Consider the following 26,156-nt stretch of genomic DNA (forward strand, 5'->3'; position numbering starts at 1 on the left):
CATGTATGAAAGTGAAACGCTGGTTCTGTCTTAAGCCCCTCAAGCCCTCAGCAGCACCATCATTCACTTGCTAACCTTGGGCATTCACTTGACTCCGCCAATACATGCATCCCTGGGGCCAAAACCATCAAAAGGGAGGCACAAAAGGAGTCATAGCTGTCTCAAGTACAGGGGGGCTCATCTTTTGCTGAGGCAAAGGACAATTAGTTAGATGTGCTTTAACTTTTAGCAAAATGCAAATTTGGCAATCTTTTTTTCATTACAAATTCCGTTAGTTACTGAAGTCATCGTTTTTTTTTTATTTTTTATTTATTTATTTATTTTTTTAACTTTAGATGGAGTCTCGCTCTGTTGCCAGGCTGGAACGCAGTGGTGCAATCTCGGCTCACTGCAACCTCTACCTCCCAGGTTCAGGTGATTCTTCTGCCTCAGCCTCCTGAGTAGCTGGGACGACTGGTGCGTGCCACCAGGTCCGGCTAATTTTTGTATTTTTAGTACAGATGGGTTTCACCATGTTGGCTAGGATGGTCTTGATCTCTTGACCTTGTGACCTGCCTGCCTCAGCCTCCCAAAGTGCTGGGATTACAGGCGTGAGCCACCACGCTCGGCCTGAAGTCATCTTTTAAAAAAAATTCTCAGGGCCAGGTGTGGTGGCTCATGTCTGTAATCCCAGCACTTTGGGAGGCAGAGGCAGGCAGATCACTTGAGGTCAGGAGTTCGAGACCAGCCTGGCCAACGTGGTGAAATCCCACCTCTACTAAAAAAACACAAAAATTAGCCAGCTGTGGTGGCCCATGCCTGAAATCCCAGCTACTCTGGAGTCTGAGGCACGAGAATCACTTGAACCTGGGAGGCAGAGGTTGCAGTGAGCTGAGATCATACCACTGCACTCCAGCCTGTGTGACAGAGTGAGACTCCGTTACAAAAAAAAAAAAAAATTTCTTGGGAGTTGGGTCGAATGATGTAGTCAGGTCAGGTCACTTACCAACCAGCAACAACTTACTGAACATTGTATTAGTCCATTCTCATGCTGCTAATAAAGACATACCCAAGACTGGGTAATTTATAAAGGAAAGAGGTTTAATTGACTCACAGTTCAGCATGGCTGAGGCCTCAGGAAACTTACAATCATGGTGGAAGGGGAAGCAAACATGTCCTTCTTCACATAGTGGCAGGAGAGAGAAGAATGAGAGCCGATCCAAGGGGGAAGCCCCTTACAAAAGCATCGGATCTTGTGAGAACTTACTATCACGAGAACAGGATGGAGGAAACAGCCCCCATGATTCAATTTTCTCCATCTGGTCCCTCCCACAACATGTGGGGATTATGGGAACTATAATTCAAGATGAGATTGGGGTGAGAACACAGCCAAACCATATCATTCTGTCCCTGGCCCCTCCCAAATCTCATGTCCTCATAATTCCAAACATAACCCTGCCCTTCCAACAGTCACCCAAAGTCTTAGCTCATTCCAGCATTAACTCAAAACTCCAAGTCCAAAGTCTCATCTCAGACAAGGCAAGTCCCTTCCACCTATGGGCCTGTAAAACCAAAAGCAAGTTAGTTACTTCCTAGATACAATGGGGGTACAGGGATTGGGTAAATACACCCATTCCAAATGGGAGAAATTGGCCAAAACAAAGAGGCTACGGGTGCCATGCAAGTCCGAAATCCAATACGGCAGTCATTAAACCTTAAAGTTCCAAAATGATCTCCTTTGACTCCGTGTCTCCCATCCAGGTGATGTTGATGCAAGAGGTGGGCTCCCATGGCCTTGGGCAGCCCCACTCCTGTGGCTTTGCAGGGTATACCCCCACCCCCACCTTGGTTACTTTCACAGGCTGGTGTTGAGTGTCTGGGACTCTTCCGGGTGCACAGTGCAAGCTACCATTCTGGGGTCTGGAGGACGGTGGCCCTGTTCTCACAGCTCCACCAGGCAGTGCACCAATCGGGACTCTGTGTGGGGGATCCAACCCCGTATTTCCCTTCCACACTGCCCTAGCAGAGGTTCTCCAGAGAGCGAACTTCTGCCTGGACATCCAGGTGTTTCCATACATCCTCTGAAATCTAGGCAGAGGTTCCCAGACCTTAATTCTTGACTTCTGTGCACCCATAGGCCCAACACCATGTGTAAGCCAAGGCTTGGGGCTTGCACCCTCTGAAGCAACAGCCTGAGCTTTATGTTGGTCCCTTTTAGCCAAGGCTGGAGCTGAAGAAGCTAGGATGCAGGGCACCATGTCCCAATGCAGCATAGAGCGGGGGGTGGGGGGGGGGCCCTTATAGGCCCCCAGGCTTGTGATAGGAGGGGCTGCTGGAAGGTCTCTGACATGCCCTGGAGACATCTTCCCCATTCTCTTGGTGATTAACATTTGACGTTACTTATGCAAATTTCTGCAGCCAGCTTAAATTTCTCCCCAGAAAATGGAGTTTTCTTTTCTATCCCATCATCAGGCTGCAAAATTTTCCAAACTTTTATGCTCTGCTTCCTCTCGAACACTTTGCTGCTTAGAAATTTCTTCTGCCAGATACCCTAACTCATCTCTCTCAAAGTTCCATGCATCTCTACGGCAGAGGCAAAATGCTACCAGTCTCTTTCCATAGCAAGAGTGACCTTTACTCCCGCTTCCAATAGGTTCTTCATCTCCATCTTGACCACTTCAGCCTGGACTTCACTGTCCATATCACTATCAGCAATTTGTCAAAGCTATTCAACAAGTCTCTAGGAAGTTCTAAATGTTTCCCACATTTTCCTGTCTTCTTCTGAACCCTCCAAACTGTTCCAACCTCTGCCTGTTACTCAGTTCCAAAGTTGCTTCCACATTTTTGGGTATCTTTACAGCAGCACCCCACTCTCTGTGGTACCAATTTACTGTATTAGTCCATTCTCAAACTGCTAACAAAGACATACCCAAGGCTGGGTAATTTATAATGGAAACAGATTTAATTGACTCATAGTTCAGCATGGCTGGCTCAGGAAACTTACAATCATGGTGGAAGAGGAAGCAAATACGTCTTTCTTCATATGGTGGCAGGAGGGAGAATGAGAGCCGAGCGAAGGGAAAAGCCCTCTATTAAACCATTAGATCTCGTGAGAACTTACTATCACGAGAACAGGATGTAGGGAAACAGCTCCCATGATTCAGTTATCTCCACCTGGTCCCTCCCACGACACATGGGGATTATGGGAACTGCAATTCAAAATGAGATTTGGGTGGGGACACAGCCAAACCCTATCATACACTACATTAATATGAGAAATACCTATTAAGACATGAGCTTACACTCTGACAACATGGAATGGCAGCTGGGAACGTAGCCGCAGCAACTTATGAGGAAGGAAGATGGCCACCTGCGTGCTGTGTATAAACTGCATGCAGGGTAGGAGTAAAGGGGAGGCATGGGTGAAGCCAGGTCCAGAATAGGGATGCGATTTTGAAACACAGAGAACAGGAAGAGGATAGGATAAGAGCAAAGGCAGGGAGATGGGAAAGTTCACTGTGTGCTTCAGGTAGCGATGAGACCAATTTACTGGGGTGAAGGTCTGCAAGGCAGGTACCAAGGCAGGATTGGTAAGCAAGCCTTGGGCCCTTCTATATCCAGAGTCTGCACTTCGGCCTGAAGGAAACACGGATCGCTCAAGGTTTCTGAAGGAAGAAGCGGTGCGCACAGAGATGGGACAGTGAGGTTGGAAAGGTTAGGGTTAGTGAGGAGGAGGGGCCCAGAAACGAGTTCATGCTTATTTTATCCGTTTTAAGAATCAGAGACCCAACGCCAGAAGATGGAGTGACTCGAGAGATACTTCATTTATAACACACATCTGTAATTTACAAAGGATTTTCGTTTACATGATCTCATTTTACCTTCAGAACAATTTGTAAAGGAGAACATTTGCCACATTCACAAGTTAAGGAACTGCTGCTCAGAAATGATGGTATTACCTTTGGTAAAACCTTTGTTGGTTTTTGGGACACTGCCTTCTCCCTCCCCACCCGCCCCATTATTCCTTCTCAGGAGACTTCTTCTGTATTTCTCCTTAAATATAGATGCCCTTAGGCCTGCTGTACTCTTTAGATGACCTCTCCTACTCTTGTGGCTTAAACTATCGCATCTAAACTGACATCTGCCTGACGTACTACACAGCTCAGACTTTTCCGCTGAGCACCTGACCTACATACACACAACAACCTGCTCAACTCTTGCTTTCATCAAGCATGTCCCAAACCTAAGTTTTACCCTAGGCTTGCTCCTCCTCCTGTATTCCCTATTCTGTCAAACAGTACGACCCACCAGTCCAGTGATGATCAGCAGTGCCCCCTGCAGCTTTTCTTTGGCTAATTTCAAATAATAAAACAGAGGGAGGAAAAGCATTGAGGCTAACCGCTGGGGGAGGAGCACACTTCATCCCCAGGTGCACAGAAACACACCGGCAGGACTGCTGCAGGAAGGGCTGGTGCTCAGCAGAGGGACAGGACTGGCAAAAGCCACCAGAGCTCAGAGGTATGTGAATCCTAAACACTCAGCATTATTTTTTAATACTTTGATTTTGGATTCCGATTTTAAATCTTTTTAAACACAGTCTGAATTTGAAGTCGCTTCAAATATTTCTTTAAAAGCAATATTCAAACGATACAGGAATCTTGTACGATAGACAAACCAAATATTATTATTCTGATCTTACAATTCACTCACTCCACTCACTTATTTGTTCAGACATTTATTGAGCACTTCTTAAGGGCCAGGCATGGTGTGAGGCACTGGGATGTAACAGTGATTATGACAAAGTCCCTCAAGGAGCTCACAGTCTAATGGTAAACTACAGAGTAAACTGAGGCACAGAGTGGTAAATGACTTACCCAATGAGGTAGAAACAGCTAGGTATGTGAAAATGTGGGAGCAGAGCTGGAGAGAGGGCAAGGTACAACTTGTCCTAAGTAAAACCCCTTGGACTGACTCAACAGCAAGGCTGCATACACAAACATTACAAAATCTACTTGCAAAAACCTGAAAGGAGTTTCCAATTATCACCATGACTGAATTCATGTTTCACAATGAATTCAGCTATTTCCTGATGGCATTTCTATCCTTGCCCCCAAAGCCACTGGGCATGCCACCAGTCTGCTGGGAGACAGCAATTAGGTAGACAGCTTAAAACCAAGAAGTATCTGACTCCAATTTTAGCACTGAAAACCATATTAAAATACTTTAATTAAATCCACAAACATAAATGTGTAGCACATTTATGATACTTCTACATGTAGAAGTTTGGAAAAAGTCTCTTCTAACCCTCATCCAGAGGATTCTAATAAGTTATAGGTACCAAAGAGATTAGAGAATTTGTCTGTCACTTTCCATATATACATTATTTTGGCTGTACAAGGGTGAAAAGTGTCACTCAGACATATTTCGTAAGTAATCTCAACATTATACAGATATATACAAAGACATCACATTTAAATTCGTGTGTACATCTATGCAATGTACAACAGTAACTGCAAACATGAACCAGTGTAAGGCAATTTCTTTTGTGATATATGACATACTCCTTGAAGGGAAGGGTAGAGTCCACAAAGAACTGTCCATTTCAGCCTGACTGTCTGTCTTCATGACACTCTGTGATGAAGCTACTTCAGGAGGCAAGATGTCTATTTCACTGACAAAAAGCAGTGAATAATTATAAAAGGAGTTGTTTTCAAATGTGGAAACCACAATTACTCAGTAATCTAAGTGGTGAACTCCTCAAAGACACTACTGGCCATGATGCCGCTACTGAGAACGAGAGCACTTCATGGATAATTTATTGCTCTGAGAATCAAATTTGATGCGTAATTCTCCACGAAGATATTCCCAAAAAACTCAGTGATACATAAATTCTCAAATGCCATCAGTTGCTTACTTCAAGCAATTCTTCACTTTGCTGAGGATTTTCTTCTGGAAAAGAACACGAGAGAGAAATACACCTAAGTGAATACACCTAAGTGAAGGTCTGATAGGCAAATACGTAAAAGAATACACAATCTGACTACTTCAGAAAACCCTGAAGATGCCTGGTCAAGAACACGTATTCTCAGGTTAATGGCATAAGGCTAATTTTTTCAGCCTCTCAAGAATAAACTGGAACTCTAACTTGTACCTGAAAGCACCCGTCCGAGAATGGAGGAAACCTTCCCTTATTAGGGCTTTATTAGTTTCTTTTGGAGCCGTCACGACTCCCCCAGTCTTCGTAATCCTTGTGTCTTTGTGCTGTTGTCTGCATGTGGGCAACAGCCCCCTCTTCTGGTCATTACAGGTATTCTTCGTCAGTGAAAGCTTCCTATCGGTCCAGCCTGTGGCTCTGCAAGGGCCACCTGAAGACCACCCTGGCCCGCAGTGCTTGTCAAGTTCTCCAGTTGGCTGGGTCTTTGTTCGGATGTCGGTGGAGCTGTTGGCTGGGTACTGTGATGGCTTCTGCCCAGGCCGGTCACAGGATGCTGGTCCCCTGCTCAGGCAATTCCACTATTTGGGATCTGCTGTTGGACAGCACTGCAAGCTGGGTTCCGAGGTTAGATGGAGTCACTGCTCTGGCCAGATGGGTCCAGAGGCGACGTCCTTAGAAATGTGCAACTGAGGACTGACTCTTGTGGAGTGGGCTGTTGGCTGAGTTGAGTGGGTATTTGACTGCCTGGGTCAAGCAGGTCTAGCCCCTTCCCTTCTCCAAGATGTGCAGAAGGGGAAGTCTCCCGGCCAGGTCATGGGCAGGCTCTTTGGCCGAGTGGAGCTGCTGTTTGACTGAAAGCCTGCCCTATTCAGAGACCATCGCAAGTTGGTATCACCATGGGACCAAACAGAATTCTAAGTTTTCACTGCTACCAAAACTACAGAAATTTAACTATAATGTTCACAGAAATATTCTAAACTACAGTAAGAGTTATGCTGTAATTTTTTACTCATGTTTTTGTGGCTAGGAAGAGTAAAAATATCTTAAGGCCATAATACACATTAATAAAATTATGCATGCTTAATTAAAATACTGTCAGAATCACTGGTATATTTACCTTCCTCAGGGCCTTCTGGATGAGTGCTCTCAGATGAAGAGGTCCCGACACCTTCAGACCTTTTGTTACTGGTCTGACCCTGCTCCACTTCACACAAATAGACATCGATAGGTCCGTTGGTGCTCCTTATGTGCACTGTGATAGAGTCCTAGCAAAGGACACAGGAATCGTCAAGATGAATGAAATAATAAATCATATTTTTTCACTCACTAGAACTGCAAAAATTTCGAGACATTTGAGAAAATCACCTTAGCTGTAGTCACATTACAGCACTGGCCAATTCCCATGCTGAAGACAGCTACATGTGATCCTGCAGTAATGGCTTCAGAGCTATCATGTGAAAACCTCAGTACTCAAGAGCCTGTCTTTTTCTACTCAGGAGCTGACCCTTCAAGGAGGCCGTATTTCAGTCAAAAATCAGTGTTTTGATGACACAGAACTCCAGAATACCCTAGAGTCTCACAGGATAAATATGTGCTTGGATTTCCAGACCAATGAACAGGTCTTGAGATAATGGAAGGGCCATTCTTTTGTCCAGTTGAAAGAACAGGAAAAGATCAAAATATATCTCAAGTAAAATGTCAAAAAAATCGTTTACATTATTTATAAAGGACTAATTAACTCATTATGATATTCACATCCTTTGATTTCAGATTTCCTCAGGATTAATCAAAATACTTTTTTTCCGTAAGGTATCAGGCAACTTCAGTGCTTCTACTGGGAATTATGCTAAATTCTTAAGGAACAGCCCCAGTTATAAATGATTGCTTTAATTGGGAGCTGCTTCAACTATAACAAAGTCTGTTTTCTCCCCTTTAATGCAGTTAGGCCTGGGCTAGACACACATACACCACTGCTCCCTCCCACTCCACACCTCATTGTGATCTTATACCAGGGTGAGTCTGTGGAGATGCAGCCTCTCAGACGGTCTCAGAGCCTCACCTGCCCTTGCTATGACTTCCTGGTACTACAAGTGGGCTAGAGAACATCTGTGCTCAGCTTCTAGAGTGCCAGGTCACAACTGGTTTGAATGATAAATCCTGTACAATTTAATAGATATTTCTTAACAATAACATTCCACTAAATTAAGTGTTGTCAAACTTCCATAAAGGCTGAGATGGTAAATATTTTTGGCTTTGCAAGTCACACTATCCCTGTCACAACCTTTTAACTCTGCCACTATAGTATGAAAGCAGTCAGAAACAATATGTAAACAAATGTGCATGTGGCTGTGTCCTAATCAAATTATTTCTAAGAAAAAGGAGCAGGCCGGATCTGACCTGAGGGCCAGTTTGCCACCCATCACACTAGGTCCCCAGATCTTCACGGTCAGGCTCTGGCCAAGAGGGCCCATGTGCAGAGACTTTAAATAGGACTCTAAGAGAAGCCTCAGGTATGATCAAAGGCTCAGCCAGATTTAGCAATTACAGTCTGAAGCAGCTCACAGCATAGGGAAAAGCCAAAAATCCATTAGTCTCTGCAGAATGAATTATTATGCCCCAAAGTAAAGATGTGTTGATTGGCAGTTTCTTAAAAATAAAACAACTAGGAAACATCACCAAGAAATCATAACTTGAGTGTGACTGAGGTAAATGAAAGCCAGCCCTTACCCCATACACTGTGGAGTAATACAGGGCTCACTTGAACAGTGGTCTGCTGGGGACAAAAGGAAAAACAGGTCAAGAAAATATTCTTCGCTAGGCAGGAGGCAAACCCCCAGGGCAATGCAGAGGGCTGCACTGTGAGCACCGATGGGTCTATCAAGGCTGTCAGTCTTGAGGATGTGTCCCAAGAATGGCCACATTCCTTGGTTCTGATTCTGTCCTCATCAAGCAGCCTTCTGATGCAATTATCTTTCAATGCAAATTTTTCTGCAAGGGAAAGAACGCACTGAGCAGCTGGCGGCTGACAAAAATAATGTTCATTTACACAGAAATCCTACTTTTCCATTTTAAATTCAGAACCTAGCGTCCTGGTTTATTCATCAGTCTTTCAAGAGTTTGTTAATTCCCCAGTGCCTTGGCTGACACCAGACCTTACTTTTGCAACTTTAAGATGGGCCAATTCTTGGTGATTCTTCTAAGAAGCACTGCAGTACAATAGTGAAAAGCAAACTATGAAGCCACACTAACTGGGTTTGAATTCTGGTGATCCTGAAAAAGTTAACTCATCTTTGTGAGCTTTTGGTTCCTCATCTTTAAGATAATAATGACTACTTGACTTGTGTTAGTTGAAGCAAGTTAAATGTGTGAAGTGCCTTGAGCAGTATCGGATGTACAGTGCACGTGCACACAACGGCTCTTAAGTATGACTGCAATAAATCACAGCCTAAGCAGTCGGCCCTCATCCCTCTTTAAATCTTTTTAAAAATGCAGGGTTACCTACTTCTCTGGGAGCTGGAACATCCAATCTGGTTTCTGCTGGAGCTTTAACTGCAATGACGATCTGTTCATGGAAGGCCTGAATGCTATGAATGTCTTGATAGGTCACATATGCTAGTGTAAAACTCAGTCAAGGATCTCTACACAGAATGCTGTTTACTGGGGAGGTAATTTATCTCTAGTAATTCAGTTAACGCAAGGGTAATGTTAGAATGTTTTTAGTTTTTATGAGATACAAGTTCACCATTAAGGAAAGCAGTAAAAAAAAAAAAAATTCATTGATAATCTTTATTATTCACATAAAATTAAGATTTTTATGAAGGGTTTTACAATATTTACAACACAACCTAAAGAGTTTCTTTAAGCTCTACTATTATGATTATGATGGCAATTTCTGGAGAAAAATATTAATAAAGTCTGAGTCCCTAACACAAATACACCACATAAAGAAATTCAAATTTTCACCCTATTCCCTTTTCAGGTATAGTAAGCTAGATCTTACTATAACTTTGAGAAAAAACACTCAGGGCTTTGACAAGAATCCCCTAAAATGAAAGATGGAAAAAAATCTATAAAAAGGCATAAACGACTTAGAGATTAAGTTTCTCAAGACTATCATGTATGATGTTACTTCATCCAAAATTATTTTCCATCTCACTACCTGAGTCTTTTTCGTCTTGTCTCACTGTGTTGCCTCAAATTTTACCAATTAAGTGATTTACTGGATTTCTCTAGCATTTTTTTTTTCTGATTGGCTGCAGTAATGTTGGTGCTTATTTTTTCTTTTCCTTCCAGTACCTGTACTGTGGGAATAGAGGTTTTTGACTGCTGGAGAGAGTTTTAAGTAAATATGAGGTATGGGATAGCTCAGAATCAGTGAGCCCCTCAAAGGGTGCCACAGGGAACAGCACAGCATATAGGTTTAAGACACCCAGGAGGTCAGTACCAAAGACAAGGCTCCCCCAGCCCCACCCCCCAGCTCCCTGAGACACTGAGTTTCAAAGCAAAACTGCTACTAAGCAACAACGCGCTTCTGTGGACACAAATGGCAGTTTAAGCACCACTTCAATGGCAATTCACTGTTTCAGAAATCAACTTCCATTCACAAATTTCTAGGAAAAACATGAACTTCACAAAAGCCAACAAATATTTTATTATCCTTATAGTATTCAGACTATAAAAATGAATACTCACCATTTTAAGTGGTACCATCAACCTTGGTTTGGTACTGTACCCCTGAGGTCATCATCCAGAATTTAATCTAAGAAATGCCACACAGAAGTTAAAAAACCTACTGTTTGTGTATGTTTGAGGTTATACTACTACCAACTTTTACCTAACTTTTTTTTTTTTTTTTTTTGAGACGGAGTTTCGCTCCTGTTGCCCAGACTGGAGTGCAATGGCGCCATCTCCGCTCACAGCAACCTCGGCCTCCCAGATTCAAGCGATTCTCCTGCCTCAGCCTCCCAAGGAGCTGGGATTACAGCCATGTGTGCCACCACGCCTGGCTAATTTTGTATTTAACTTTCAATGGTCTAATTTTATATCTTAAATATATAAATTAAGTCCCCAAGCTGACTCTACTACTTAAGTAATCTGTTTTGGAAGCAGAAATTTTAAAAAGGTATAGACTTAAAGGATATCTTTCATTTTCTTTGTCATCTGTTAACTCAAACAGCTGCTGAGCACAATCCTTAATTAACTCATCCAAAGCATCTTCCATTGCTGATAAGTCAGAAAGTTCCTCCTGTAGCTTCTTTTGTTGGGGAACTGCTCCAAAATTGCTAAGATCAGATCCTCTTTAGAAGAAAAAAAATGTCAGCATCAATACCAACTAGGAGATAACAAAGTAATTTCAAGTTAGGTTATTGGAACTTCTCCAAATGTTTGCCATAAGTGTTTTCCACAACAATAGAAACTAGGGACTTTTAACTTCTGCCGTCTTTGTTCTAGACAGCCATTATTCCTTCTGTACATAAATTATTTATAGTTCTTCATCTTATACAGTCTTTTTCAAAAAAATACATTACAACCTAACAGAAATTAATAACAGCAGAGGCAGCCTAAGGAAATAAAAAGGGCACTGAACTAAGAGTCAATAACACCCAGCTTCAGCCTCAGTCCTAGTACTTACAACGCAGCTTCTGATAAGTTATAATCGTACAGTACTTGAGTTCCTACACATGAAAACATAGGGTGGGCTAAATGACAGTGCCTCTGCTAACATGTGAGGAGTCTGTATCTTTCCCTAGTGTACACATTCTGTCTGAATATAATGATTATATTCATCATTTAAAAAAAGACATTATTTTCAGGCCAGGCATGGTGGGTCACGCCTGTAATCCCAGCACTTTGGGAGGCTGAGGCAGGTGAATCAACTGAGGTCAGGAGTTATAGACCAGCCTGGCCAACATGGTGAAACCCCGTCTCTACTAAAAATACAAAAATTAGCCGGGCGTGGTGGTGTATGCCTGTAATCCCAGCTACTGGGGAGGCTGAGGCAGGAGAATCACTTGAACCCAGGAGGTGGAGGTTGCAGTGAGCCGAGATTGTGCCACTATACTCCAGCCTGGGTGACAGAGCAAGACCCCGTCTCAAAAGAAAAAAAAAAAAAAGACATATTTTCTTTAGTTATTAGTGCCTACTCCAATATGATATGACCAGGCAACAACTGATTTTCATTTTTTTCTTTCAATCTTAATGGAAAATAAATAGGGAAAGGTCCTTGCCTTTATCTTTTACTTGGTAGTTTTCAAATCTGATTCTAATTAGTGATTCACAATGCATGCCGATATAAACTCCTAAAGTGTTTTTTAGTGTTATTTAGTAAACATGCTCAAATTAGAATTCAACCTGTACTTCTGTACTATTGAAAAAATTACCTCCTTTATGAATCCCTTTCCTCTAATAACTAAGTTAATTATTTAGGGTCATTTTATGGTCTTTGCTGGTAGGTTTTCATTTGCCTGAGAGGTCACTATGTACTTATTTGCTGTAACTATTTCTCCCTGTCCCCAAATACTTGCCTATTCTAGGTACAACAGCATTCTCATGTGTGCACACACAGATACCTTTATCTATGTCAATGTCTTAAGCTTCCCTTTCCATTGGATTTCTCCTCATCATGTCAAGTCTTTAGCAACTGTCTTTTAGACACTGTCTGATTTTTTTTTTTTTTAATATTCAGGGCAGTATTTTAAACACCTCGCTACGTCATAATCTCCTGGGCTACCTGTTGAGAATGTACTTTCCTGCTTTCCCTCAGACCTACCGAATTACAACTCCAGAGGCAGTAAGCCTCTAGGTGTTTACTACACTTCTGTGTGAAAACCACTGTTTTACAACCTTAACAAATTTTCCCAATATCAATAATCAATTGGAACTGAGGAAATACTTTTTAAAAAATTTATGTACTCTCTAGGATGATGCAAGAAAATTTTATAGAATTCTCTTCTAACAAGAAGTCGTACCTTTGTATTATATTGTCAAAACACTGCCACTATCTAGTTTAAGCATGGAATTGTCACTTGATGAGAAGGAACAAAAGCCACGAAAAAGTTTGAAAGCAACTCACATCCATCTAATATGGTTCTTGGATTTCTTTTCAACGAGGTCGATTCCATCTAAGACATTGGTGATGTCATACACTCTCCGCTTTCGGACTCCCAGTTTCGTTGCAACCTTGTTTAAGTCAAGAATACCCCCGGGAGCAGATCTGACAAGATCCATAAATTTTCGAGTTAAATAAACCAGCGATACATCAAAACGAGGTCTCTTCACTTTTAGAGCTTCTGGGAAACAAAATAAACATATTTGTAAAATTTTAAATAACATTTCTCAACTCATTTTTAAAAATCATCTGTTTCCTCTTGATCAGATAGCAGACATCTACAGAAATGCCTACACATTGACCAAATCAAAGCTGGTTTCTATGAAATAAATCTCTTAAATTGGAGAAAAAATTCACTGGCCTATCCTGGCTCTAAACAAAGGCTTTAGATTTAAACAAAGGAGGATTTGAAATATGCAACCAGTGTCCACCGAACATGTGGACTTTCACAAGTCTACTGTATCTTCTCGGACAAAGCAGTGAGATTAATTTGCATCCATACCACTCTCAGGAATAGAATTACACATGATTTTTAAAATTAAATTTCTCATTTGGTCTTCAAGTTAAGGAATTCTTTACAAAGCAAAGGCAGAGAATTGGCGGCTTTTTTTCCCCTTTTAATGACTCTATCCATGTCATAGTGTAAGTTGTCTGATGAATTTTTTTGAAAGAGCCCAAACTAGTCTTCTATTAAGACAATTATGACATACCTCGAGCAACAGTGGTATCTCTCTCTTTTTTTTTTTTTTTTGAGAGAGTCTCGCTCTGTTGCCCAGGCTGGAGCTGGAGTGCAGTGGCGCGATCCTGGCTCACTGCAACCTCCGCCTCCAGGGTTCAAGTAATTCTCCTCCGGAGTAGCTGGGATTACAGGCATGCACCAGCACGCCTGGCTAATTGTTTTGCATTTTTAGTAGAGACGGGGTTTCACCATATTGGCCAGGCTGGTCTTGAATTCATTCCTGACCCTGTGATCCACCTGCCTCAGCCTCCCGAAGTACTGGGATTACAGGCATTAAGAGCCACCGCGGCTGGCCCAGTATCTCTATTTTTAAAAATATTCACTACCCTATATTAATTTAACAGATAGACAAAAAAAAAATCCCTTAATTCCCTCACTCACCTACTATAATGACTGGGGTTTTCATACACACACACACCTCTAACACATTCACACTTGTGTGCCAATCATATATATAGTTTTTAAAAACAAAAATAGGACCATGCAATTTTGCAACACGTTCTTTTAACTCCATATTGTGAACATCCTGACATGTCAACAAATGTATTTCAACATTATTCTTAATGGCTGCATGCTTAACTGTATGCAGTATTTGCTATTTATCCCAATATTAGAAATTAGACCATCTCCAACTTTACGATTTTGCTTCATATTTCAATGAACCTTTTTGTTGCGAAACTACTGTATGTCCCCTTAACTGGACATTTTTAAGGAATGTTGATATGTGCCGCTAAACTGCTCTGCAGGTTGTGGGTTCTATCCATTCTATGCAGTATACACGGGCCTCATCTCACATGCTCGCCAGAACTAAGTATCTTGTCATCTTTTCCAATTTGATACTAAGAAAAAGTTCTTATGGCTTGGTTTGCAGAAAAAATAATTTCTAAAATAACTTTGTCACTCTGGTGTGGAATATATGACTTTCTTTTTCTCTACTTCCACAGCACACCACAGTCAGTATGCCTCAAAGAAATGTCCATCCTACCTTCAGTCAGAAATGTCCTTACTCAGAACCTCCACAATGTCACATTTAGTTTAAAGACCACTGGCGGTTACTTCAGGAACAAAGGTACATATTTCATAATATAAATGTCTTCTCTCTGGAGCCCATTCCTACACTTAAGATTAAATAGGCGTAAATTAGGAATTTAAAAGGATTTTTAATCGGAAGTAGAGGGTCACAATTCTACAACAAACTCAGGAAGATTACAAATGAGAAATTCTAACTTTAAAAAGCATATATTTAATTATACTAATTATTAACAAGGCATGGTCTTATATGCTCAGGATAAGCATATTTCTATGTTATTTTATAAAGAACATGTACAACGGAACACCAAAAATGTGACAGTTGCTGAGGGGATATGAATAGGATTACAGAGGTCTTCACACCAAAGCAACTCCGTAGTCTAATAAGGAACTCTATTATATGTCCTGAGGTAAGTGCTAAGAGAGGTATTCAAAGTCACCCGATGGCAAGAAATCAAACCTTCACTGGAGGGGGAAACTGGGAAGGCCTCTTGATGGGAGTACACTGGGCATAGGGAACAGGAAGGCGAATGGGCGGTGTTTGCCCACTGTGACAGAGGGTGAGGGGCTGAAGTGAGGGAGAGGAAACCACACCTCAGAAGACAAAGCAGACTTAGAGAACCTGGGGTGCTTTGGGGATCACAGGTGGTGTAGCTTGTGCTGTGGAGGAGGGCGGCAGCATGCTGGAAGAAGAGGCTGCGGCATTAAGCAAGAAACAGCCTACAAGGGCCTGGTCTGCTCTGTCTACCCATTCTCTACTGCCTTGTTTCTTTTAATATGAAGTGGCTTATGAATTTAATGCAAACACTTAAAATCAAATATACAAGGAATCAGGGTTTTCTCTACATGTAAAAGAGCGTCACTGAAGAACTTAGGTTGAATGATATCATAATCCAATTTCTGTATTAGACAAATCCCCCTGGATTTTTCCAGCATCCAGGTTGGAAAGCCTGGAAGCTGACTGCCTTCTAAGAAGGAGACCCAGCAACTTCAGCTACAGAGGAAGTTAGACCCTGAACGAGAAGAAGCAATTCAACGTTGTGGTAAAGACTCTGGGCTCTTGCGTCAGAGAGGTAAGAGATTCAACCCTGACTCTGAGCAACTCACCTCAGCCTCTCTGGGCCTTTATAAAGTAAGAATTCTAATCCATACCTATATTTTGAAAGGTCATTGTGACAATCCATGCAGAGAGCTTAATGCAGTGCCAGGCACTGTATGAGCTCAATAAATGTTAGATATTATTATAAATTGGTGGTATGGGACAGATGCAAGAAACACATCAAAGGTGAAGCTGACCAAACTCAGTGACCAACTATGGGTGAGACTGGGGCAGGCACTGAGGCAAAACTAAGGGTGAGTATTTCTAAGATTCACACTGACTTATCGATGCACTATGTATCCACTGAGATTAGGAAGCTGAGGTGGGGCGGTCTATCATGGAAACTTCCAGAAGAGGGAACTAGAGCCATTTACATCCTATCGCCTCTAACAGATACCCTAAACATTAACCTAAGATAAGGGACAAGAAGGAAAGAGTACATTTCTCTCCCAGGAGGAATTCTGAGAAAATAGCCTTAAATACAGACTGTTCTATGGAGAATAAACTGGCATTTGTGCACATGATTCAACCCATAACCTCAGGAGTTGTTACTAAAACTTGCAACTTTACATTTCAGTGTACACATAACAAATTGTATTTCAGTTTCTCATCAACTCATACACTTAAACAAATCATTTTAATCATAAGAAGTTCAAACTAACAAAACCTAAAACCTATTCAGGAATCAACTTACTTCTCATGGACACATATTGTACATTATCTTCTAAATTAATCCTTATTTTTGATGGCTGAAAAAAAAGATAAAAAATTTAACTTAGTGATTTTAAAACAACAATGCAAACAAATAGCATTTTACTCAATAGTATAAAGGTCTGGGAATATGAATATGATAATTACTGGCTGGGCAGAGGCTCACGCCTGTAATCCCAGCACTTTGGGAGGCCGAGGCAGGTGCATCACTGAGGTGAGGAGTTCGAGACCAGCCTGGCCAACATGGTGAAACCCCATCTCGACTAAAAATACAAAAATTAGCCGGGCGTGGTGGCAGGCACCTGTAGTCCCAGCTACTTGGGAGGCTGTGGCAAGAGAATCGCTTGAATCTAGGAGGTGGAGGTTGCAGTGAGCCAAGATCATGCCACTGCACTCCAGCCTGGGCAACACAGCAAGACTCCGTCTCAAAAAACAAAACAAAACAAAAAAACATGCACACACACACAAAATATACTGAATACATCAGGTACGATCATTACAACACTGTCCCTGACTTGGGAAAGCTTAGTAGAGATAGAAGATCTATCTCAACCAACACATGCTCACTCCTTGCTATTATTAAGTACACGTGGTTCCCCAAAATTTGCTCACAAGCTTTCATAGGCAGCTATGCATTCCCATTATAATTAATGTAAAAACAGCAGCATTTCTAACAATGGAAAACAATGCATGCTGTGGGTAACTAGAAACTTTTGCGTTAGATAAAAAGTTTCTTTTAAATTCCTGAAACAACCAGGAAATTAGTAGAAGCTCCATTATCAATGCTCACCATTTTACCAGCTATTTAGAGGCTCTGAAAGTTTGCATAAAACTGGTAGTAACATTTAGAAACTGTTTTTCTGTAAAAAATAAATAAAATGAAACCAAACCTTAAAATGAAAGCCTATGAACAGAAACTCCTAGTAACATCAATGTTAATGTGCCTCCAGACAGGCTGTCATCAGGTTTAGCTCTTATCTAAGAAAAAACTGGCCATAAAGCAAAACTGGGGCAAGTGAATTCATAGGTACTCTAAGAAGAGAATCAACAGCAGTACTAGGGATACACCCAGACAGGGAACTCACAGAAGGATTCATGGCGAAGGCAGCCCTCAGCTGAGCCTAGCCCAGCAAGCCAGATTTGCCTGAATAAACAACTGTGGGGAGAGAAGAAAAAAGACAGGATTGTGGTACCGGAAATGAACAAAGGTGTGAAGATGTATATGGCATGGCATGTTTCTGGGAACCCACTGAAGTGGCCAGTGTGTAAGTGACTTGACTTTGAAGCTGGGAGGGCATGCTGGCACCACATAAAACTAATGCTAAAGAGTTTGGACTTTATGTCATAACCAGTAGAGAATCACCAAAGGTTTCTGAACCAGACTAGGACATAATTAAGTAAATGGTTTAGAAATATAAGTATGGCAGCAATATGGCAAAAGGACTGGGAAATGAGGAAGCCTGAAGGCAAGGTGAGCAGTTAAGAAGCTCTTTGTTTATACTGGTGTTAACAATATCCTCGGCACAATGATTTCCTTATCATCTATGACAAGATGATAGCATCTATTAACAAATCACCCCAATATGGAATACTCCCATTGAGACAGAATCCCACTGTAAAATTAATTTAGTTGTTAGAATTGAACACGTAGACCTGCTAGGGCATGCAACACTGGAGCTGGGAATGCTGGCCTTGGGGGTAGGGACTAGGTCTGGCCAGCTCTCTCAAACAGTGCTGACAATGGTGACTTGCAAACATGGTATCCAACAGTGAAACTCTGAAGCAGTCCTATCAAAGTCAGACATTAGACAAGTGTGACCAACTGCCATTGCTATTTTTACATTTAACCCCTCTGCTAATAGTATGAGACGGGCCAGCTACGGTAGCAAGATTCTTGAATGGAAAAAAAAAAAATCCATCCTTATCACATTGATTTGAAACACACATAAACAAACATCCTAAATCCTTATATATAAGCTCAGAGGGGCCTTGCTGCAGAGGTTCCCGTTCTTAATTCAGAGTAGCAGGCCCAGGACTTACACACTCTACTTACTGGCTCCCAAAGAGGCTGCCTCGCTAGCTATGCATTCTAGGGTGTCTTCTCTGCTACACACCTCCCTACCCATCTCATCTAGACAGTGGATCACAGGTTGGTACAGAAATAACACCTCAGTTAGGCATAATATGAAAAAAGATGGCTTTGTTTTCCCCACTCTTTGCTATCAATGCAGTTCCATTACATATTGGCTATACTGATGTATGTGGGAAAACAGTCTCCAAGAGCATTCATTTGTTTTTTTTTCCTCTTCAAATACAAAAACACTCTATCTTGGAGGAATCACAACAGTACCATTGCCCCTCAGTGGCAGACATCATATACAGACATATAGATAGAAACATAAGTCCAGGCGCGGTGGCTCATGCCTGTAATCCCAGGACTTTGGGAGGCGGGGTGGGGGGAGGAGATCACAAGGTCAGGAGTTCAAGACCAGCCTGGCCAACATAGTGAAATCCCCGTCTCTACTAAAAATACAAAAAATTAGCTGGGGGTGGTGGTGGGCACCTGTAATAAAAGCTACTTGGGAGGCTGAGGCAGGAGAATCGCTTGAACCCGGGAGGCAGGGGTTGCAGTGAGCTGAGATCGTGCCATTGCACTCCAGCCCAGATGACGGTGCGAGACTCCGTCTCAAAAAAAAAAAAGATGATAAATAGGCAGATTGTTTGCATGCTAGCTGCAAAATGAATGGAGAAGTCAGAGGCTTACAAAATGAAAATCACTCAGGCTGATCTTGTGCCCTGACAGAGTATACAGCTCTCTAGGAACCAGCATCTTCTGGGGCAAGTCAGCATATTTTTTCAAATTCCAAGCTATTTCACCACTGCTCCAAGTCCCCTATTTAAAGACCTATACTTTATTGTGTAGCTTTGAAGAGCTGCTTCAAAGGTGGAAAAAAAAATAAAAGATGAAGTTTAGGGACTAAAATGCTAAGCACTGCCTCCAAGCTGGTTAAACCTTTCTCTATACAGATGTTTCTCTACACCAATTCTGTTTTGGGGAGCAATATTCCTTCAAGAGGTCTTTGGAAAGGTTATTGCATTCTCACCCATTCAAATTTTCCTTATTTTTCAATTATGCAGACCAAGTTCTACCTCCAATCAATGCTATTTTCTCCCTTCTCAGAAGTCCAGATCCTCTGGGACCCTCTTTCCCGTTTGTCCTTGGACAACAACTTCAGATTCTCTGGCCTTTGGACTCTAGGAGTTACACTAGCAGCCTCCCAGGTTCTCATGCTATGGACTTGGACTGAGCCATGCTACCAGCATCCCAAGGTCTCCAGCTTGCAGCCAGCCTATTGTGGGGCTTCTCAGCCTCCAAAATCATGAGCCAATTTCCCTAATAAATTCCCTCTCATATATCTACATGCAATCATGCATCTTCTCAGAATCGTCATTAGGCGATTTTGTTGCGTGAACATCATAGAGTGCTTAAACAAACCTAGATGGTACAGCCCACTACACACCTAGGCTATACAGTATAGCCTATTGCTGCTAGGCCACAAACCTGTAGAGCATGTGACTGACTGAATACTGTAGATAACGGTAACTAACAGAATGGTATTTGTGCATCTAAACATAGAAAAGGTAATGTTTGGTGCTATGACCATTATGATGGCTACAATGTCACCAGGTGATAGAAATTTTTCAGCTCCACTATAATCTTACAGGACCAGAAACCTAATACAGATTTGGTACCAGAAGTGGAGTGAGTCATACTTTGCACCTCACCTTTAGGGGTCTGCTGGGACTTGGGTCTAGTAATAGGTCTAGAAGCAAAGAGGGGTGGCGGGGTGGGTCCTGATGAGAATCAGCACTGTCTTGTCCGGGAACTGTTTCAGAGGAGGCCATTACTATCTCCACAGGCAATGCAGAATTAATCCCCTTAGACAGGGGTGGAAAGGATGATACCACTGTAGGTGGAAATGCTACTGCCCCTCTGGCAAACAAGACTCATCAGAATTTAGGGGCTCAATGTGTCCAGCCTCATCTTCCCACATGATCCCATCCAAACTTGCAGGACCCCACTCTTTCCCAACCAATACCCTCACTTTAACAGTAGATGCTCTGTGAGGCTAAGAGAGTTCAACTTTCTATTTTATTTATTTATTTATTTTTGTGATGGAGTTTCACTCTTGTTGCCCAAGCTGGAGTGCAGTGGCACAATCTCGGCTCACTGCAACCTCCACCTCCTGGGTTCAAGTGATTCTTCTGCCTCAGCCTCCCGAGTAGCTGGGATTACAGGCGCACGTCACCAAGCCTGGCTAATTTTTTGTATTTTTAGTAGAAACGGGGTTTCACCACATTAGCCAGGCTGGTCTCGAAATCCGGACCTCAGGTGATCCACCCGCCTCAGCCTCCCGAAGTGCTGGGATTACAGGCATGAGCCACCATGACTGGCCAAGAGTTCAACTTCCATTGTAATTTGGCCAGTTACATGATGAAGGCTTGTGTTTGATTTTCAGCAATTTCAGCCCCATGGCTACAGGATAGAAGATTCTAACCCAGGGCACACTTAGAAACTTTTAGGTCATTTATGTGGAACTCCAGCCATGAAACTGAATCCCTGAGCTCATCCTTTTCTTTCATCACTTTGTCCAAAGACAATAGGAGCAACCAACCAATGTCATTATAATCCTTGTTTTCCCAAAAATATTTGAAAATATCACATATAGCGTCACTAAATTCTTTGCCTCTTATAAGCAGTGAATTAGAATAAAAAGGCATTTATTTTGCATATCTATAAACAGTTTGTGTCATGGACTTCCAGTGCTCTCTCTACTATTAGAAGTAGAGCTCTTGGCATTTTTAGATTCTAATCAGATTAAAGAATCAATTCCAAAAACCCCAATTAAGGAAACTCATCTTTAATATTCTGTTTCCCAGAACCATTCCTGGTACCAAAATCTGTGTTAGTATTGGTCTGTCTCTCTGGAGAGCCCTGACCAATAGAGTAATAAATTCAATTCTGGATATAGAGTAGTCCACCCTTATCCCTGGGAGCTACATTCCAAGACCCCCAGTGGATGCCTAAAACCGCAAACAGTACCAATCTCTATATATACTATTTTTTCGTATACATACATACATGTGATAACATTTAATTTATAGATCGGGCATAGTAAGAGATTAACAGCTAATAATAAAATACAACAATTATAGCAATAAACTACAATGAAAGTTATGTGAATGTGGTCTCTCTCTCAAAATATCTTATACTGTAGATCTTAGCGACCTCAGAATAAGATTTTTTTTCTTTCCTTACTAAGTCAAGAACTTAGATCTTTTCACTTAAAGGAAGCACTTCATCAATTCTCTTCAGCATACTGGAAGCACTACTGGAAGCATACTGGAAGCACTACTTTTGTGCTTTGGGGCCATTACTGAGAAAATAAGGGCTACTTAACACAAGCACCGTGACAGTTGGTCTGAGAATCAAGAAACAGCTACTAAGCGACTAAGGGCAGGGCGCAGTGACAGCATGGGAACTCTGGACAAAGGAAGATTCAGGTGCTGGGTGGTACTGGACAGCTCAAGATTTCATGACACTACTGAGAATGGCAAGCAGTTTAAAACTAATGAATTATTTCTGGAATTTTCATTTTAATAGTTTGGGGGACCACAGGTTAACTGAAATAAAGAAAAGTGAAACCTCAGATGAGAGGGGACTAATAGGAGTTTGAAACCTAAGTAGGAAGGTCTAGTAGACAGCTGGAAAACCCTGAAGGAGATTTATAGATTTGGGAATTATGACATGGTAACTGAAAATACCAGAACTGTATGTCTAAGATTTCAAGGGATGTATCTGCTGATACTACATGCAAACTAAGTGGTTTTTCCACAGTGAGCTTAGAGTTTTTATCACGTTCTCAAATATTAAGACCACCAATACAGATGGTACCAATATACAGCTGACCCTCAAACAACACAGGTTTGAATTGTGTGGGTCCACTTAGAGACCAATTTTCTTTACCCGCTGCCACCCCTTAGAGAGCAAAACCAGCTCCTCCTCTTACTCTTGTTCATCAGCCCACTTAGTGTGAAGACAAGGATGAAGACCTTTACGATGACCTAATTCCCCCGAAGGAGTAGGATTTTCTCTTATTTATGATTTTCTTAATAACATTTTCTTTTCTTTAGCTACTTTACTATAAGAAAACAGTAACTAATACATATAAATACAAAATATGTGTCAATTAACTGTTTACGGTATCAGTAAGGCTTCCAGCAAACAGTAAAGTTTTGGGGGAATCAAAGTTATATTCAGATTTTGAATTTCATGGGATTTGGTGCCCCAATCCCTGAGTCGTTCAATGATCAAATGTAGATGGTAACAGAAGTCATGGGAGGAGTGAATGAACTCCCCTAAGAAGAATGTGTAGAGACGGTAGAAGAGAACCCTGAATAATACCAACATGTGGCCAGCTGCAGAGGCTCACGCCTGTAATCCCAGCACTTTGGGGAGCTGAGGTGAGAGGACTGCTTGAGCCCAGGAGTTCAAGACCAGCCTGGGCCCCATAGGAAGACTCCCATCTCTAAAAATAAAAATAATTAGCCAGGTGTGGTGGCATGTGCCTGTGGTCTCAGCTACTTGGGAGTTGGAGGCAGAAGGATCACTTGAGCCTGGGAGGTAAGGCTGCAGTGAGCCATGATGTGCCACTGCACTCCAGCCAGGGTGACAGAGTGAGATCCTGCACCGGGGGGGGGGACAAAAACAAAAACAGAAAAACAAATCAACATGAAGGAATGGGAAGAGGATGAGGACAAGGAGAAGCCAGAGAAGCAGATGGAGCATCAAACGTCAAGGAAGCTCAAGGGAGGGTTTCTAACACGAGTGTTGTAGTCAAAACTACAACAGCTGCTGGAATTGACGAGCTTGTCGGTGACCTTGGTTAGAATGGTCTTACAAGTGTGCTTAGGATAGGGGTCCCCAGCAGTGGGTTGGCTGGTAATAAGAGGCCATCAAGTGGAAACAGTGAGTGTAAATAACCTTTTCAAGAAGTTTAGCTGTGAAAGCACTTTGGGAGGCTGAGGCGGGTGGATCACGAGGTCAGGAGATTGAGACCATCCTGGCTTACACGGTGAAACCCCATCTCTACTAAAAATACAAAAAAAAATTAGCCGTGCGTGGTGGCGGGTGCCTGTAGTCCCAGCTACTCAGGAGGCTGAGGCAGGAAAATGGCGTGAACTCGGGAGGCGGAGCTTGCAGTGAACCGAGATCAGGCCACTGCACTCCAGCCTGGGTGACAGAGCAAGACTTCGTCACCAAAAAAAAAAAAAAAAAAAAAAAGTTTAGCTGTGAAGAGGAAGAGAGACAGTAGATGGGAGGGGATATGGAATCAAGGGAGAGATCTTTTAAGATGGGGATGGATTTAGAATGCGGTTTTAGTAGTCAAGAATTTATCATCTGGAGTTAGACATTTGGAGCTTCAACCCAAGTTTCTACACTTATTATCCAGCCACAGGCAAGCCGGCGTTACATGCATCTCCAAGTCTGTTTTGGCAACCGTGAAACAAGAATAATAATCTTTTAGTATTATAAAACACTGCTGTGAGAAATGAGAAATTAAATGAGGCAATAATCACAAACTATTTGGTAGGGGAACCAGGCATAATGACTTGGGAAAATGTTTAATTACTACTAGTTATAGAAAGAAAGCAGCAGAGAAATTGAAAATACGGGGAGAGGTCGGGCTCGGTGGATCACCTGAGGTCGTCAGGAGTTCGAGACCAGCCTGGCCAACACGGCGAAATCCCGTCTCTACTAAAAATACAAAATTAGCTGGGTGTGGTGGCGCATGCCTGTGATCCCAGCTACATGGGAGGCTGAAGCAGGAGAATCTCTTGAACCTGGGAGGTGGGGGTTGCAGTGAGCTGAGATTGCGCCATTGCACTCCAGCCTGGGGAACAAAAGTAAAACTCAATCTCAAAAAAAAAAAAAAAAAAGAAAAAAAAGAAAGAAAAGAAAAAGAAAATGCATTTGTTGAGGGCCCTGATAACCGCGGGGAATACAGCATCTGGTCCTGAACAAGAGAAGAAATCAGCCTTTGCAGGAAAGGGAGCCAAATTTCCTAACCATTTTCTCTGTCAAACAGGTGGGGAGATAATTTGATGAATGGGAGCTGTGGCGTGGGAAATATAAAGCGTGGACAAGGTTTTAAACGGCTGCAGTAGAGCAGAAGGATGGGAGAGGAGGCAGAAAAACAAATGATAGGTTGCAGAGATACAGCTAGAGTCCATAGAAGGAGATAAACATGGACTCTCTAATGCAAAGTTGAGCAATTTTCTCCAACAGTGCTCTGAAGTTCCGATGTAAAAGCCTAGAAGACTGATACCACGTCTGTGAGCAGATGCTGAAAGCAGAAGGCGGGAGAGCGCAGTTCGCAGCACGTGATGGGCAGCGCCTGGCCCAGGGGGAGCAGACGACCCAGACGACGGCCAGCGGGGTTGGCGGCGGCGCGGGGAGGAGGGGGCCGGATTTGGGAGACCACCGCCCGTCCCCGTCCCGTCCCGGAGCTTACCAGCAGGCCCTCCACGTTGATGGGGTCTCGGCACCGACGGCGAACCGTCTCCTCCGTCGGGTCCAGGAGGAGACTGGGTAACTTCCTCGCCGGCCGCTGCTGACTCATGCTGCCCGGCCGGGCGTCCTGCTCCCCTCGCACCCCACGAGCTCTCCCGCCCTCTCGCGCTCAGCTCGAGCACCGCCCCCCACGCGCCGATTTCCAAGGGCCCAGCACCTAAGGGGTCCGCGGCTTCCTCCGAGGCGCCGCCCGGCTAGGCCGTCCCGCCCGCCAGTAAACGCGGCACGGCCTCACGTGCCCGGGAGCTCCCGACGCAGACGGAAAAAGAGGAGGGAGACCCGCGGATCTCAAGTCGCCCGGCCCGCCATCTTCCCGCATGCGCAGTACACCGCCCCCCTCTGCGCATGCCCGCCGCTGCCGGAGCGCTCCCACGCACCGATCCTCTCCCGGCGGCTGCCGCCCGGGAAACCCGGACCGCGGAATCCACGGAGAGGCTGGCAAAGGAAAAGGAAGAGGTGGAGCCGAATTCCAGAGGAAGGGAACAGGGGTGAGAGAAAAGAGGCAACCGGGAAAACCCAGCGGTCGCCTGGAATTCTCGACGGTGATAACTGAAAGTTCTGAGGTGATAACTGAAAGTTCTGAGCCGCAGAGATGTTCATTTATTCCTTTTTTTTATTTTAATTTTTTTTTTGGTCGCCCAGGCTGGAGTGCAGTGGCGTGGTCAGGGCTCACTGCAGCCTTGAATTCCCGGGCTCAAGCGATCCTCCACCTCAGCCTCCCAAGTAGCTGGGACTACATGCGCGCGCCACTGTGCCTGGCTAATTTTTAATTTTAATTTTAGTAGAGACAGGGTCTCAGTATATTGCCCCGGCTGGTCCTGAACTCTGGGGCTCAAGCCGTCCTCCCACCTTGGCCTCTCAAGTGCTGGGATTATAGGCGTGAGCTACCACACCCAGCCTTCATTTATTCGTGAGCTCTGT

At 43.1% G+C, this 26,156-nt stretch overlaps 1 protein-coding gene across 9 annotated transcripts, besides 3 other annotated features; it reads right to left on the minus strand.

Annotated features, from left to right (window-relative positions):
• Positions 1–3,779: 3,779 nt before the first annotated feature.
• Positions 3,780–25,566, minus strand: E2F6 (E2F transcription factor 6). Of its 9 annotated transcripts, NM_001278277.2 has the most exons (9): positions 25,177–25,566; positions 17,686–17,756; positions 16,584–16,638; positions 14,747–14,879; positions 12,987–13,203; positions 11,056–11,211; positions 9,417–9,531; positions 7,032–7,179; positions 3,780–5,928 (listed from the first exon to the last, which is right to left on the minus strand). In NM_001278277.2, exons 5-9 carry the CDS (start codon positions 13,139–13,141, stop codon positions 5,882–5,884), a joined length of 621 nt encoding a protein of 206 aa, NP_001265206.1. In that variant the 5' UTR covers positions 13,142–13,203; positions 14,747–14,879; positions 16,584–16,638; positions 17,686–17,756; positions 25,177–25,566; the 3' UTR covers positions 3,780–5,881. The 9 variants fall into 9 exon arrangements, 8 of the variants coding, with proteins under 8 accessions (NP_001265206.1, NP_001265205.1, NP_001265204.1 ...); NM_001278276.2 differs by lacking the exon at positions 17,686–17,756; NM_001278275.2 differs by lacking the exon at positions 14,747–14,879.
• Positions 8,732–8,993: a silencer, noted in NCBI's record as "fragment chr2:11589453-11589714 (GRCh37/hg19 assembly coordinates)". NCBI's record gives its function as "represses an EF-1alpha promoter that drives an FKBP-Casp9 reporter gene in an ReSE screen in phorbol 12-myristate 13-acetate-treated (for megakaryocytic differentiation) K562 erythroleukemia cells {active_cell/tissue: K562(+PMA)}" and the evidence as "EXISTENCE:reporter gene assay evidence [ECO:0000049][PMID:32094911]".
• Positions 24,760–25,317: an enhancer, noted in NCBI's record as "H3K27ac hESC enhancer chr2:11605481-11606038 (GRCh37/hg19 assembly coordinates)". NCBI's record gives its function as "activates a minimal SCP1, AML or CMV promoter by ChIP-STARR-seq in naive and primed H9 embryonic stem cells {active_cell/tissue: H9 hESC(naive and primed)}" and the evidence as "EXISTENCE:reporter gene assay evidence [ECO:0000049][PMID:30033119]".
• Positions 25,318–25,874: an enhancer, noted in NCBI's record as "H3K27ac hESC enhancer chr2:11606039-11606595 (GRCh37/hg19 assembly coordinates)". NCBI's record gives its function as "activates a minimal SCP1, AML or CMV promoter by ChIP-STARR-seq in primed H9 embryonic stem cells {active_cell/tissue: H9 hESC(primed)}" and the evidence as "EXISTENCE:reporter gene assay evidence [ECO:0000049][PMID:30033119]".

This window comes from Homo sapiens, chromosome 2 (genome assembly GCF_000001405.40).
Source record: "Homo sapiens chromosome 2, GRCh38.p14 Primary Assembly".
Taxonomy (NCBI): domain Eukaryota; kingdom Metazoa; phylum Chordata; class Mammalia; order Primates; family Hominidae; genus Homo; species Homo sapiens.

What these genes read in the sequence shown, in the direction of transcription:
- E2F6 (NM_198256.4), bottom strand. Translation starts at nt 25,284, where the DNA reads ATGAGTCAGCAGCGGCCGGCGAGGAAGTTACCCAGTCTCCTCCTGGAC. An exon ending in TCAACGTGGAGGGCCTGCTG is followed by an intron (nt 16,639 to 25,176) that starts GTAAGCTCCGGG and finishes CTTTTTTTTCAG; the next exon opens with CCATCAAAAATAAGGATTAA. An exon ending in TCCAGAAGGCCCTGAGGAAG is followed by an intron (nt 5,929 to 7,031) that starts GTAAATATACCA and finishes GTTCTTTTCCAG; the next exon opens with AAGAAAATCCTCAGCAAAGT.